At 39.8% G+C, this 14760-nt stretch overlaps 1 protein-coding gene across 14 annotated transcripts in view, besides 1 other annotated feature; it reads right to left on the minus strand.

The window, feature by feature from the left end:
* Nucleotides 1-14760, minus strand: part of SLC35F4 (solute carrier family 35 member F4) — a 419262-nt gene that overhangs the window by 150425 nt on the left and 254077 nt on the right. The window lies entirely within an intron of this gene.
* Nucleotides 16-1012: an enhancer, noted in NCBI's record as "OCT4-NANOG hESC enhancer chr14:58181078-58182074 (GRCh37/hg19 assembly coordinates)". NCBI's record gives its function as "activates a minimal SCP1, AML or CMV promoter by ChIP-STARR-seq in naive and primed H9 embryonic stem cells {active_cell/tissue: H9 hESC(naive and primed)}" and the evidence as "EXISTENCE:reporter gene assay evidence [ECO:0000049][PMID:30033119]".

Here is a 14760-nt window from a genome sequence, read left to right on the forward strand (position 1 = left end):
TTCACTCTTTTGAGATGTTCTACCAGACCAGCTAAAATGTGTTTTTCCATTGAGAGTCTTAAAAACAAACTTTAAACTTAGGAATTCTGTGAATCCAATTCCTTTACAGAGCAAAACCATTTTATTTGTTGACTTTTCCTACAAGTGAAAGCACACAGCCTCTGTTTAGTTTAATTAAACAAGGATATAAATTGCCCTGAAGTGTTTGTTTTTCTTGCTCTTATAAATCAGACCACCAAGAAAGAATGCAAACGATATTGCCTGCCTGAGTGCATTCACTCATTCAGCAAATACCTACTGAAAGTCTTGCTAGGCCCTGAGGCTACTGAGATGAATAATTCACAGTTTTTTCCTTTAAGAGGTTTCCAGCTCAGTGGGGAATGTGACACCTAATCAGGTAATTGTAAAACCCTGTGGGAGATTAGTGATAGAGAGATGCACTGGGTTTGGTATAAGCCCAGAAGAGGACGATCTACACCACAGGTGGCTGAGCAGAAGGACAGACACTTATTTTGGACTTAACGGACCAAGAATAGCCTTGTTGGAAGTAAATTTGTAGTGAAATGCAAAGAGTGGGAAGATGAGGGAGTTTGCAGCTACAAATCTCAGTTCGTTCAACGGAGGAGGATTCTTGCTCATTTGCTGGGAGAGGAGTCAAAGACTGAGTAGAAGGAGCTCTTCTAAAAGTAGTAAAAGTGTGGAATTATTTTTGAGAGGAATAGGAAAGAGAGGCGAGTAAAGATGGAAATGATTGAAGGGTGATTCTGAGGGCTCAGTTAGGGAACTGAATGTCTAGATAACCCAGTCTGCAGGGTTATAGGGGGAAAAAAAAGGCAAATGGCAGCGCAGTTCCAGGTTGGCAATTTATAGACAATAATGCAGAAGAATGCAAGAGGAAGAAAGAGGGCCAGCAAGAAATCAGTTCAGATGGCTAACCACAAGTTGAATAGGAAAGGAAAATTACCCAGAAGTGATGATAGCTAACGTGATCATACATCCCTGTTTGCTCAGTATCATCTTGGCATAATTATTACAGCATCCACTTTCACTTGCAAAATATTATCTTTTGGACAATAAATTATATGGTCCTCCTAATGGTGGCCTGAGAAAAGTAATACAGGAGTGAATCTCTATGAGATCAAAGGGCTAGGGTGTTGTAACCAGAGTTGAATGAAGAAATTACAATTTAAGAAGGGAGGGGTCCTTGACAATGACAAGACAAAGGGTATGGTCCTGGGAGTGAGTGACTAAAATGGCATGGAGATGACAGTTTTTGAAGTTAAGGTAGCCCAGGAACTATGGAGCTAACTGGTTGGATGAGTCATTTTCATGGCCATTGAAATGAGCATCTGGCACTTAGTAGATGTTCAGTAAATGTTGGATGATATTGCAGAGATGGACTGGGAAGGGAGGATATGAATCAGTTCCCAGTATTTCAGACAATAGGAGAGTTAAACTAGAAGAGGAGAGACAAAAGTGAAAAGGGTTCAAGATGGCATAGGTATATGCCAAGATGTAATATAAAAATGTACTTTTAAAAGAGGAAGAGTGGTGATCAGACAGCAGTCAGAAGTAGAGGAGAGACAAAAGTGAAAAGGGTTCAAGATGGCATAGGTATATGCCAAGACGTAATATAAAAATGTACTTTTAAAAGAGGAAGAGTGGTGATCAGACAGCAGTCAGAAGTAGTTTATTGGATGTGGGAAAATAAGAACCTACAGTGAGAGCTGCAGAAAGTGATGTCTTCAGGAGAGAGGAATGGTGAACACCACTGTGTGCGTGCGGGTTTTCATGCCATTCATCCACTGAAGGCAGCAAAGGTGCCATTAGGGGAGGGGGCATGGACTCTGTCTCAACTTAAGTAAACCCTTCTGAAGTCAAAAAAGGTCCAGAAACCAAATTCCTATCTTAACAAGTAGTTTGAGGGTACCAGGTAATTTCTCATTTTCACTTTTTTTTTTTCTGTCTTTTGTAATACTAACCTATACCTTAACCATTTATGCCGGATGTTGCAATTTTTTGAATTGCAGACACATGTGAAAAATCAGACCTTGGCGATGACCTTGAGCAGTAGAATATAAATAACTCCCACATGCTTAGCGTTCCAATAATAGAACACTAGGCATAAATGGATAGAGATGGTATAATAAAGATGATTCACTGTTTTAATTTTTCTGGTCTAAACTGTTCATTATGTTACTTTATGCTATTAACAATTACTCAAAAATCCACTTCCCATATATATCTTTTCTAAAAATTTTAATTGGCACAAAATAATTGTACATATGTATGGAGTACAGTGTGATATTTCAATACATGCAATGTGTAATGATCAAATTAGGGTAATCAGCATATTCATCACCTCAAATATTTATTATTTGTATGGGGAACATTTGAAATCCTCTCTTCTTGCTGAAAATATACAGTAAATTATTTATAATTATAGTCATTCTACAGTGCTATAGAACACTAGAACTTATTTCTCCTATCTAGCTAAAATTTCTTTCTGTTAACCCACCTCTCCCTATTCCCCTACCTGCTTCCAGCCTCTAGTAACCATTATTCTACTCTCTACTTCTATGAGATCAACTTTTTTAGCTTCCACATATGAGTGAGAATATGTGATATTTGTCTTTCTATGCTTGTCTTATTTCACTCAACACAGTGTCCTACAGGCTCACCCATGTTGCTGACAGCATTTTTATATGACTTAATAGTATTCCATTGTGTATTTAAAGCACATTTTCATTATCCTTTTATGTAGATGAACCCTTAGGTTAATTTCATATCTTGATTATTGTGAATAGTGCTATGATAAATATGGGAGTGCAGAAATGTCTTTGACATACTGATTTCATTGCCTGGATACTCAGTAGTATTTGTCATATGATATGACATACTAGAGCATATGATAGTTCTGTTTTTAGTTTTTTGAGGATCCTCATACTGTTTTCCATAATGGCTGCACTAATTCACATTCCTACCAACAGTGTATAAGAGTTCTTCTTCCAGCTGGGCGCGGTGGCTCACCCCTGTAATCCCAGCACTTTGGGAGGCCGAGACAGGCGGATCACGAGGTCAGGAGATCGAGACCATCCTGGCTAATACGGTGAAATCCTGTCTCTACTAAAAATACAAAAAATTAGCCAGGCGTGGTGTCGGGCGCCTGTAGTCCCAGCTACTCGGGAGGCTGAGGCAGGAGAATGGCATGAACCTGGGAGACGGAGCTTGCAGTGAGCCGAGATCGCGCCACTGCACTCCAGCCTGGGCGACAGAGCGAGACTCCGTCTCAAAAAAAGAGTTTTTCCTTCACATCATTGACAGAATTATTTTTTGGTTTTTAATTTTAAAAAACTTTAATTTCTTTTACTTTTAATTTTTGTGGGTACATAGTAGGTGTATATATATTTATGGAGTACACGAGATATTTTGCTACAGGCATGCAATGTGTAATAATCATAACATGGAAAATTGGGTATCCATCCCCTCAAGCATTTATCCTTTGTTACAAACAATCCAATTATACTGTTTTGGTTATTTTAAAATGTACAATTAAATTGTTATTGACTATAGTCCTGCTGTTGTGCTATCAAATACTATTGATAGCACTCTTATTCACTCTTGTAACTACTTTTTTGTAGCCATTAACCATCCTCCCCTTCCCCTAACACCAACTCCCAACTACTCTTCCCAGCCTCTGGTAACCACCCTTTATTCTCTATCTCCATGAATTCAATTGTTTTGATTGCTGGATTACACAAATAAGTGAGAACATGCTATGTTTGTCTTTCTGTGCCTGGCTTCCATCCATGCTGTTGCAAATGGTAGTCTCATTCTTTTTTATAGCTCAATAGTACTCTATTGTGTATAAATATCATATTTTCTTTATCCATTCCTCTGTTGATGGACATGTAGGTTACTTCCAAATCTTGACTATTGTGAATAGTGCTGCAACAAACATGGGAGTGCAGCTGTCACTTCAATATACTGATTTCCTTTCTTTTGAGTATTTACCCAGCAGTGAGATTGCTGAATTGTATGGTAGCTCTAATTCTAGTTTTTTGAGGAACCTCCAAACTGTTCTCTGTAGTGGTTGTACCAATTTATATTCTCACCAACAGTGTATGAGGATTCTCTTTTATCCACATCCTTATTAGCATTTGTTACTGCTTGACTCTTGGATAATAGCCATTTTAACTGGACTGAGATGATGTCTTGTACTTTTGATTTGCATTTCTCTGATGATCAATAATGTTGAGCACTTTGTCATATGCCTGTTTGCCATTTGCATGTCTTCTTTTGCGAAATATCTATTCAAATCTTTTGCCCATTTTTAAACTGGATTATTAGATTTTTTCCTATAGAGTTGTTTGAGCTCCTTATATATTCTTGTTGTTAATCCCTAGTCATGAGTCATTTGCAAATATTTTCTCCCATTTTGTGGGTTGTCTCTTCACTTTGTTGATTGTTTCCTTTGCTGTACAGAAGCTTTTTAATGTGGTGTGATCCCATTTGTCTATTTTTGCTTTGGTTGACTGCTCTTGTGGGGTATTACTTAGGAAACTTTTGCCCAATATCTTGAAGAACTTCCCTAAAATTTTCTTGTAGTTATTTCATAGTTTAAGGACTTAGATTTAAGTCTATAATCCATTTTGATAAGATTTTTGTATAAGGCAAGAGATAGGGGCCAAGTTTCATTCTTCGGCATGTGGATATCTAGTTTTCTCAGCAGCATTGATTGAAAATACTGTCTTTCCCCAGTGTATGTTCTTGGCACTTTTGTCAAAAATGAGTTCACTGTAGATGTGTGGCTCTGTTTCTGGCTTCTCTATTCTGCTTCATTGGTTTGTGTGTCTGTTTTTATGCCAGTACCATGCTGTTTTGGTTACTATATCTCTGTAGTGTAATTTGAAGTCAGGTAATGGGATTCCTCCAGTTTTGTTATCTTTGGCTATTATGGGTCCTTTGTGATTCCATATGAATTTTAGGATTGTTTTTCCATTTCTGTGAAGACTGTCCTTGGTATTTTGATAGAGATTGCATTGAATCTGTAGATTGCTTTGGGTAGTATGGACATTTTAACAATATTGATTCTTTCAATCCATGAACATGGAATATCTCTCCATTTTTTGGTGTCCTCTTCAATTTCTTTGACCAGTGTTTTATAGTTCTCATTTTAGAGAACTTTCACTTTTTTGGTTAAGTTAATTCTTAGGTATTTAATTCTATTTGTGGCTATTTTTCCTGGGATTTTTTTTTTTTCATATTGTTGACTGTTGGCATAAAGAAATGCTACTGATTTTTGTATGTTAACTTTGTATCATGCAACTTTACTGAATTTATTGATCAGTTCTAATAGTTTTTTGGTGGAATCTTTATATTTTTCCAAATATAAGATGGTAGCATCTGCAAACAATGATAATTTGGCTCCTTTCTTTCCAATTTGGATACCCTTTATTTTTTTCTCTTGTCTAATTGCCCTAGCTAGGACTTCCAATACTATGTTGAATAACAGTGGTGACAGTAGGCATCCTTGTGCTCCAGATCTAAGAGGAAAGGCTTTCAGTTTTTCCACATTCAGTACAATAATAGCTGTGAGCCTGTCATATATGGTTTTTATTATGTTGTGGTATGTTCCTTCTATACCCAGTTTTTTGAGGGTTTTTATTATGAAGATATGTTAAACTTTTTCAAATGCTTTATCAGCAACAGTTGAAATGATCATATGGTTTTTATCCTTCATTCTGTTGATATGATGTATCACATTGTTTGAGTTGCATATCAAATCAATGATATGCAAATATCATTGAACCTTCCTTGCATCCCTGGGATAAATCCCACTTGATCATGATGAATAATTTTTATAATGTATTGTTGAATTTGGTTTGCTAGTTTTTTTCTGATAATTTTTGCATCACTATTCATAATATAGGTTGGCCTGCAGTTTTCTTTTTTTAACGTGCCTTTGTCTGATTTTGTTTTCAGGGTACTACTGGCCTCATAGAGTGAGTTTGGAGTATTCCTTCCTCCTCTATTTTTCAGAACTGTTTGAGTAGGATTAATATTAGTTCTTTCTTAAACAATTGTTAGAATTCAGCAGTGGAGCCATTGGGTTCCAGGCTTTTCTTTACTGGGAGATGTTTTATTATGGCATTGATCTCATTACTTGTTATTGGTATAAGGTTCTGGATTTCTTCCTGGGTCAATCTTGGTAGGTTGTATGTATCTAGGAATTTGTCCATTTCTTCTAGACTGTGATGGCTAATACTGAGTGTCAGCTTGATTGGATTGAAGGAGGCAAAGTATTGATCTTGGGTGTGTCTGTGAGAGTGTTGCCAAAGGAGATGAGCATTTGAGTCAGTAGGCTGGGAAAGACAGACCCATTGTTAATCTGGATGGGTACCATCTAATCAGCCGCCAGCATGGCTAGAATATAAAGCAGGGAGAAAAATGTGAAAAGACTAGACTAGTCTAGCCTCCCAGGCTACATCTTTCTCTCATGCTGGATGCTTCCTGTCCTCAAACATTGGACTTCAAGTTCTTCAGTTTTGGGATTTGGACTGGCTCTTCTTTCTCCTCAACTTGTAGACAGCCTATTGTGTGACCGTGTGATTGTGTGAGTTAATAAACTCCTCATATATATATATATATATATATATATATATATATATGAGTTAATAAACTCCTCATATATATATATATATCTCCTATTAGTTCTGACCATCTAGAGAACCATGAGTAATACAGATTTTGGTACCAGGAGTGGCTCCAGAGGAACAGAATATTAAGGATGGAGTTCTTTCACTGGTTTTGGGGTTTTTGGCATTGCTTGCTTAATATGATTAGAACCAAAAGTGCTAAGGTCTCTCCTTTAATAGTATGGAGAACACTGATACTGCTTGGCATGAACTGTTTAGAGAGTTATGCAAAATAAATGCATTTGACACTCCTGATTTATCGCTCATGAGAGGCAAGGAATTTAGTGACTCTGTACATAATACCTTTGACCATATGTGGAGAAGCAAGGAACATAATGAAGTTGGTTGTTTGCTCCTAAGTTCAGTGGACAAAGTGATGGAAGAAAATGATGAACTCAGGGATTTTAACTCCCATCTTCAGAAACAGATACTGACCCTCAAATCTGCTAATATCACCTTGAGTGAGAGTCTTATCTCCTGTAGAGAAAGAGCTGAAATTGTGGAAAAACACACACAAGCTCTTATCATGTGAGTGGCAAACCTGCCATGAAAAGTGCATGCACAGCATCACAAGGTGTCTACTGTTAAAGTGAAGAAAATTGGAAAAGAATGGATGAAAAGACTGGAAAAGAATGGGACTCTGCAACTTGGAATGGGGACATGTGGGAGGACCCTGATGAAGTGGGGGACACTGAGTTTATAAACTCTGATGAACCTTTTTTGCCAGAAGAAACAGCTTCCCCATCCCCAGTAGTGGCAACATTGCCTCCCCAACCCATGCTGCCATCAGCCTTTCCACCTTTATCTGAGGAGATAAACCCTGTGTCTCCTGAGGCAACAGTGATGGCCCCCCCTGAGGCAGTTGCCAGGCAAGATAATGTTGATTCTCATTATCTTGCCTGTGATGGCCACCCCCAACACTCCTGTTTTCTTCCAGATCTATAACTAAAGTCCTTGTGGGCCTCCAGAGGTGAGGTTGAGAGTGTGACCCATGAGGAGGTACACTACACTCAAAAAGAACTGCTTGAGTTTTCTAATTTATATATGCAGCAATCTGGAGAGCAGGGATGGGAATGGATATTAAGGGTGTGGAATAATGGTGGAAGGAACACAGAGTTGGATCAGGCCAAATTTATTGATTTGGTCCCATTAAGTAGGGACTCTGCATTTAATGTTGCAGCTCAGGGAGTTAAAAAAAGCTTCTAATCATTTATTTGGTTAGCTGAAATATGGATTAAGAGATGGCCCACTGTGAGTGAGCTGGAAATGACTTATTTCCCTTGGTTTAATGTACAGGAAAAGGATCAAAAGGCTTAGGGAGATTAGAATGGTGGAGTGGATTAGTCACTTTAGACCTACTCATCCCAGCTGGGAGGGTCCAGAAGATACACCCTTGACCAATGCCTTGCAAAATAGATTTGTGAGGCAGTACCTGCATCTTTGAAGAGCCCTGTAATTGCTCTTCTCTGTATGTTAGATCCAACAGTGGGAGCTGCAGTCACTCAACTACAAAATTTAACTGCAATGGGAGTAATTGGATCCCATGGTGCCAGGGGCCAAGTAGTGGCACTCAACCGTCAAAGGCAAGGTAGGCATAGCTACCATAATGGACAGCAGAGGCAAAGCGGCAATCAGAATAGTCTGACTTCTGTAGAGCTCTGGCATTGGCTAATTAATCACGGTGTTCCTAGAAGTGAAAATGATAGGAAGCCTACTGCATTCCTCCTTAATTTATATAAGCAGAAAACTTCTAGGTTGAATGGACAAAAGACAAATTTGAATTATACAAACAGAGAATCATGGACCCTCAATCAATTTCCAGACTTGAGCTGGTTTACAGACTCAGAACACCTTGAATGAAGGGGAAGGCTGGGTTCCCTTGAGGAAGGACCCCACTATACTTCTGACAATTTATACTGTTCATCTTTCTCCTGTCCTTTCCCAAGGAGACCTCCAACCTTTTACCAGGGTAACTGTGCACTGGGGAAAAGGGAAATGCAGATATTTGGGGGACTACTGGACACTGGCTCTGAGCTGACATTGATTCCAGGGGACCCAAAACATCATTGTGGTCCTCCAGTTAAAGTAGGGGCTTATGGAGGTCAGGTAATTAATGGAGTTTTAGCTCAGGTCCAAATTACAGTGGGTCCCCAGACTCATCCTGTGGTTATTTCCCCAGTGCCAGAATGCATAATTGGCATAGACATACTTAGCAGCTGGCAGAACCCCCACATTGGCTCCCTGACTGGTATTATGGTGGGAAAGGCCAAATGGAAACAATTAGAGCTGCCTCTACCTAGAAAAATAGTAAATCAAAAACCATATTGTATCCCTGGAGGGACTGTGGAGATTAGTGCCACCATCAAGGACTTGAAAGATGCAGGGGTGGTGATTTTCACCACATCCCTGTTCAACTCTCCCATTTGGCCTGTGCAGAAGACAGATGGATCTTGGAGAATGACAGTGGGTTATCGTAGGCTTAACCAAGTGGTGACTCCAATTGCAGCTGCTGTACCAGATGTGGTTTCATTGCTTGAGCAAATTAACACATCTCCTGGTACCTGGTATGCAGCCATTGACATGGCAAATGCCTTTTTCTCCATTCCTGTCCATAAGGCCCACCGGAAGTAATGTGCCTTTTGCTGGCAAGGCCAGCAATATACCTTTACTATCCTACCTCAGGGGTATATCAACTCTCCATCTTTGTGTCATAATCTTACTCAGAGAGATCTTGATTCCTTTTTGCTTCCACAAGATATCACACTGGTCCATTACATTGATGATATTATGCTGATTGGATCTAGTGAGCAAGAAGTAGCAAACACACTGACCTTATTGGTGAGACATTTGTGTGCCAGAGGATGGGAAATAAAACCAACTAAAATTCAGGGATCTTCTACCTCAGTAAAATTTCTAGGGGTCAAGAGGTGTGGGGCCTGTCGAGATATTTCTTCTAAAGGATAAGTTGTTGCATTTGGCCCCTTCTACAACCAAAAAAGAGGCACAATGCTTAGTGGGCCTATTTGGATTTTGAAGGCAACACATTCCTCATCTGGGTGTGATACTCTGGCCCATTTATCAAGTGACCTGAAAGGCTGCCAGTTTTGAGTGGGGTACAGAACAGGAGAAGGCTCTGCAACAGGTCCAGGCTGCTGTCCAAGCTGCTCTGCCACTTGGGCCATTTGACCCAGCAGATCCAATGGTGCTTGAGGTTTCAGTGGCAGATAGGGATGCTTTTTGGAGCCTTTGGCAGGCTCCCATAGGTGAATCACAGTGGAGGCCTCTAGGATTTTGGAGCAAGGCCCTGCCATCTTCTGCAGATAACTACTCTCCTTTTGAGAGACAGCTGTTGGCCTGTTACTGGGTTTTGGTGGAAACTGAACGTTTGACTATGGGTCATTAAGTCACCATGTGAACTGAACTGCCTATCATGAACTGAGTCCTTTCTGACCCATCAAGCCATAAAGTGGGTCATGCACAGCAGCATTCCATCATCAAATTGAAGTGGTATATACGTGATTGGGCTCAAGCAGGTCCTGAAGGCGTAAGTCAGTTACATGAGGAAGTAGTTCAAATGCCCATGGTCTCCACTCCTGCCATCCTGCATTCTCCCCCCCAGCCTGCACCAGTGGCCTCATGGGGAGTTCCCTATGGTCAGTTGACAGAGGAAGAGAAGACTAGGGCTTGGTTCACAGATGGTTCTGCACGATATGCAGGCACCACTCGGAAGTAGACAGCTGCAGCACTACAGCCCCTTTTTAGGACATCCCTGAAGGACAGCGATGAAAGGAAATCTTCCCAGTGGGCAGAACTTTGAGCAGTGCACCTGGTTGTGCACTTTTCATGGAAGGAGAAATGGCCAGATATGTGATTATATAATAAGTCATGGGCTGTAGCCAATGGTTTGGCTTGATGGTCAGTGACTTGGAAGAAGCATGATTGGAAAATCAATGACAAAGAAATCTGGGGAAGAGATAAGTGGATGGACCTCTTTGTGGTGTGGTAAAAAAACTGTGAGGATACTTGGATCCCAAGTGAGTGCTCACCAATGGGTGACCCCAGCAGAGGAGGATTTTAATAATCAAGTGGAAAGCATGACCATTCTGTGGACACCTGTCAGCCTCTTTACCCAGCCACCCCTCATCACCCAATGGGCCCATGAACAAAGTGGCCATGGTGGCAGGGATGAAGGTTGCACATGGGCTCAGCAACATGGACTTCCACTCACCAAGGCTGACCTGGCTATGGTCACTGCTGAGTGCCCAATTTGCCAGCAGTAGAGACCAACACTGAGCCCTCGATATGGCACCATTCCTCGGGGTGATCAGACAGCTACCTCGTGGCAGGTTGATTATACTGGACATCTTCCAACATGGAAAGGGTAGAGGTTTGTCCTCAATGGAATAAACACTTACTCCAGATACGGGTTTGCCTATCCTGCATGCAATGCTTCTGCCAAGACTACCATCCATAGACTCATGGAATGCCTTATCTGCCATTATGGTATTCCACACAGCATTGTTTCTGCCCAGGCACTCACTTTACAGCAAAAGAAGTGTGGCAGTCAGCTCATCCTCATGGAACTCACTGGTCTTATCATGTTGCCCATCATCCTGAAGCAGCTGGATTAATAGAACAGTGGAATGATCTTTTGAAGTCACACTAACAATGCCAACTAGGTGACAATACTTTGCAGGGCTGGGGCAAAGTTCTCCAGAAGGCCATGTATACTCTGAATCAGCGTCCAATATATGGTACTGTTTCTGTCATAGCCAGGATTCATAGGTTCAGGAATCAAGGGGTGGAAGTGCAAGTGGCATGACTCACCATCACCTCTAGTGATTCACTAGCAAAATTTTTGCTTCCTGTTTTCACAACATTAAGTTTTGCTGGCCTAGATGTCTTACTTCCAGAGGGAGGAACACTGCCTCCAGGAGACACAACAATGATTCCATTAAACTAGAAGTTAGGATTGCCAACTGGATACTTTGGGATCCTCTTACCTTTAAGTCAACAGGTTAAGAAGGGAGTTACAGTGTTGGCTGGGGTGATTGACCCAGACTATCAAGACTAAATCAGTCTACTACTCCACAACAGAGGCAAGGAAGAGTATGCACGGAATTCAGGAGATCCATTAGGGCATCTCTTAGTATTACCATGCCCTGGGATTAAGGTCAATGGGAAACTATAATAGCCCAACCCAGGCAGGACTACAAATGACCCAGACCCTTCAGGAATGAAGGTTTGGGTCACTCTACCAGAAAAAAAACCAGACTTGCTGAGGTGCTTGATGAAGGCAAAGGGAATACAGAATGGGTAGTAGAAGAAGGTAGTCATCAATACCAGCTATGACCACATGACCAGCTGCAGAAACAAGGACTGCAATTGTCATTAATACTTCCTCCTTCTTTTGTTAAAAACATGTTTGTGCATATATACACTTGTACTAATATATTTTATTTCCTTTTCCTTTATCACATGACGTAAGATTTATTGACTTCATATCAGCATTTAAGTATTGTTAACTTTATGTAATAGTATTTGGGTTGGTGATTAGTGTGTTCATGGTTGTACAAAGGATAGCTATATTATTTTAGGTGTGATTGTGACCTTATTATTGTCTTTATTCAATGATTATGTATGATCTCAGGAGATGTGTATGGGTTCAAGTTGACAAGGGGTGGACCTGTGATGGTTAATACTGAGTGTCAACTTGATTGGACTGAAGGATGCAAATTATTCATCTTGGGTGTGTCTGTGATGGTGTTGCCAAAGGAAGTTAGCATTTGAATTAGTGGGCTGGGAAAGGCAGGCCCACCCTTAATTTGGGTGGGCAGCATCTAATCAGCTGCCAGCACAGCTAGAATATAAAGCAGGTAGAAAAACACAAAAAGGCTAGACTGGCCTAGCTTCCCAGCCTACATCTTTCTCCCGTGCTGGATGCTTCCTGCCCTCAAACATCGGACTCCAAGTTCTTCAGTTTGGGGACTTGGACTGGCTCTCCTTGCTGCTCAGCTTGCAGATGGCCTATTGTGGGACCTTGTGATCGTGTGAGTTAATACTTAATAAGCTCATATATATATGTATATATGTACATATATATATATATGTATTCTATTAGTTATGTCCCTCTAGAGAACCCTAATACATAGACTTTCCAATTTATTGGTATATAGTAGCCACTAATGATCTTTTGAATTTCTGTGATATAAGTTGTAATGTCTCCTTTTTCATCTCTGATTTTATTTGGATATTCTCTATTTTTTGTTAGACTGGCTAAAGTTTTGTCAATTTTATCTTTTCAAAAAACCAGTTTATGTTTTGTTGATCTTTTATGTTTTCTTCATTTCAAATTCACTTATTTTTGCTCTGATTTTTATTTCTTCTACTAATTTTGGGTTCAGTTTACTCTTGTTTTTCTAGTTAAGATGCATCATTAGGTTATTTTTAGCTTTTTTTTTTTCTTTTTTAACATAGGCACTTATAGCTATACACTTTCCTCCTAGTACTGCTTTCACTGTGTCCCATAGGTTTTGGTATGTGGTGTTTCCATTATCATTTGTTTCAACACAATTTCCAATTTCTTCCTTAATTTCTTCATTTACCCACTGGTCATTCAGGAGAACATTAATTTCTATGCGTTTTTATAGTTTGCAATATCTTGTTATTGATTTTTATTTTTATTCCATTGTGGTCAGAGAAGATGCTTGATACTATTTCATTTTTCTGAATGTTTTAAGACTTGTTTAATGACCTAACATGTGGTCTATCCTTGAGAATGAACCATGTGCTGAGGAGGAAATCATGTATTGTGCAGCCATTGGATGAAATGTTCTGTAAATATCTATTAGTTCCATTTGTTCCACAGTGAAGATTAAGTCCAATGTTTCTTGGTTGATTTTCTGTATGGGAGATCTGTTCAGTGCTGAAGGTGAGGTGTTGAAATCTCCAGATATTATTGTATTGGGATTTATCTCTCTCTTCAGCTCTAATAATATTTGCTTAATTTATCTGGGTGCTCCAGTATTGGGTGCATATATATTTATAAGCATTATTTCCCCTTGCTAAGTTGACCCCTTTAACATTATATCATGACCTTTTTTGTCTCTTCTTACAGTTTTTGTCTTGAAATATATTTTGTCTTAAATAAGTATAACTACTCCTGCTCTTTTTTGGTTTCCACTGGCATGGAATATCTTTTTCATCCCTTTATTTTCAGTCTGTGTGTATCTTTATATGTGAATTGTGTTTCTTGTAGGCAACAAAGCATTAGTTCTTGTTTTTTCATACATTCAGCCACTCTATGTCTTTTGATTATACTATTTTGTTTTACTGCATGCTTACTGTTACCAGGGAGTTTTGTACCTTCCATTGATTTTTCTTCTTTTTTCTTTCTTTCTTTTTTTTTTTTTTTTTTTTTTTTTGAGATGGAGTCTCACTCTGTCACTCAGGCTGGAGTGCAATGGCACGATCTCGGCTCACTGCAACCTTCACCTCCCAGGTTCAAGTGATTCTCCTGCCTCAGCCTCCCAAGTAGCTGGAATTACAGGGGTAATTCCACTACGCCCAGTTAATTTTTATATTTTTAGGAGAGACAGGATTTCAACAAGTTGGCCAGGCTAGTCTCAGGGGGAAGTCTCAAATGCCTGACCTCAAGTGATCTGCCCTCCTTGGCCTCCCAAAGTGCTGGGATTACACGCATGAGCCACCACACCTGGCCCCTTCCATTGATTTCTTATTGTTCATCTACATCCTTTTCTTTCAGATTCAAGAACTCCCTTTAGCATTTCTTTTAGGAAAGGTCTGGTGTTGATAAAATCCCTCAGCTTTTGTTTGTCTGAGGTTTTTATTTCTCCTTCATGCTCAAAGAATATTTTCACCAGATACATTATTCTAGGGTAAAAGTTTTTTCCTTCAGCACTTTAAATATGTAATGCCACTCTCTCCTGGCCTATAAGGTTTCCACTGAAAAGTCTGCTGCCAGACATTTTGGAACTCCATTGCATGTTGTTTCTTCTCTCTTGCTGTTTTTAGGATCCTTTCTTTATCCTCAGCCTTTAGG

This window comes from Homo sapiens, chromosome 14 (assembly GCF_000001405.40).
Source record: "Homo sapiens chromosome 14, GRCh38.p14 Primary Assembly".
In the NCBI taxonomy this organism is placed as follows: domain Eukaryota; kingdom Metazoa; phylum Chordata; class Mammalia; order Primates; family Hominidae; genus Homo; species Homo sapiens.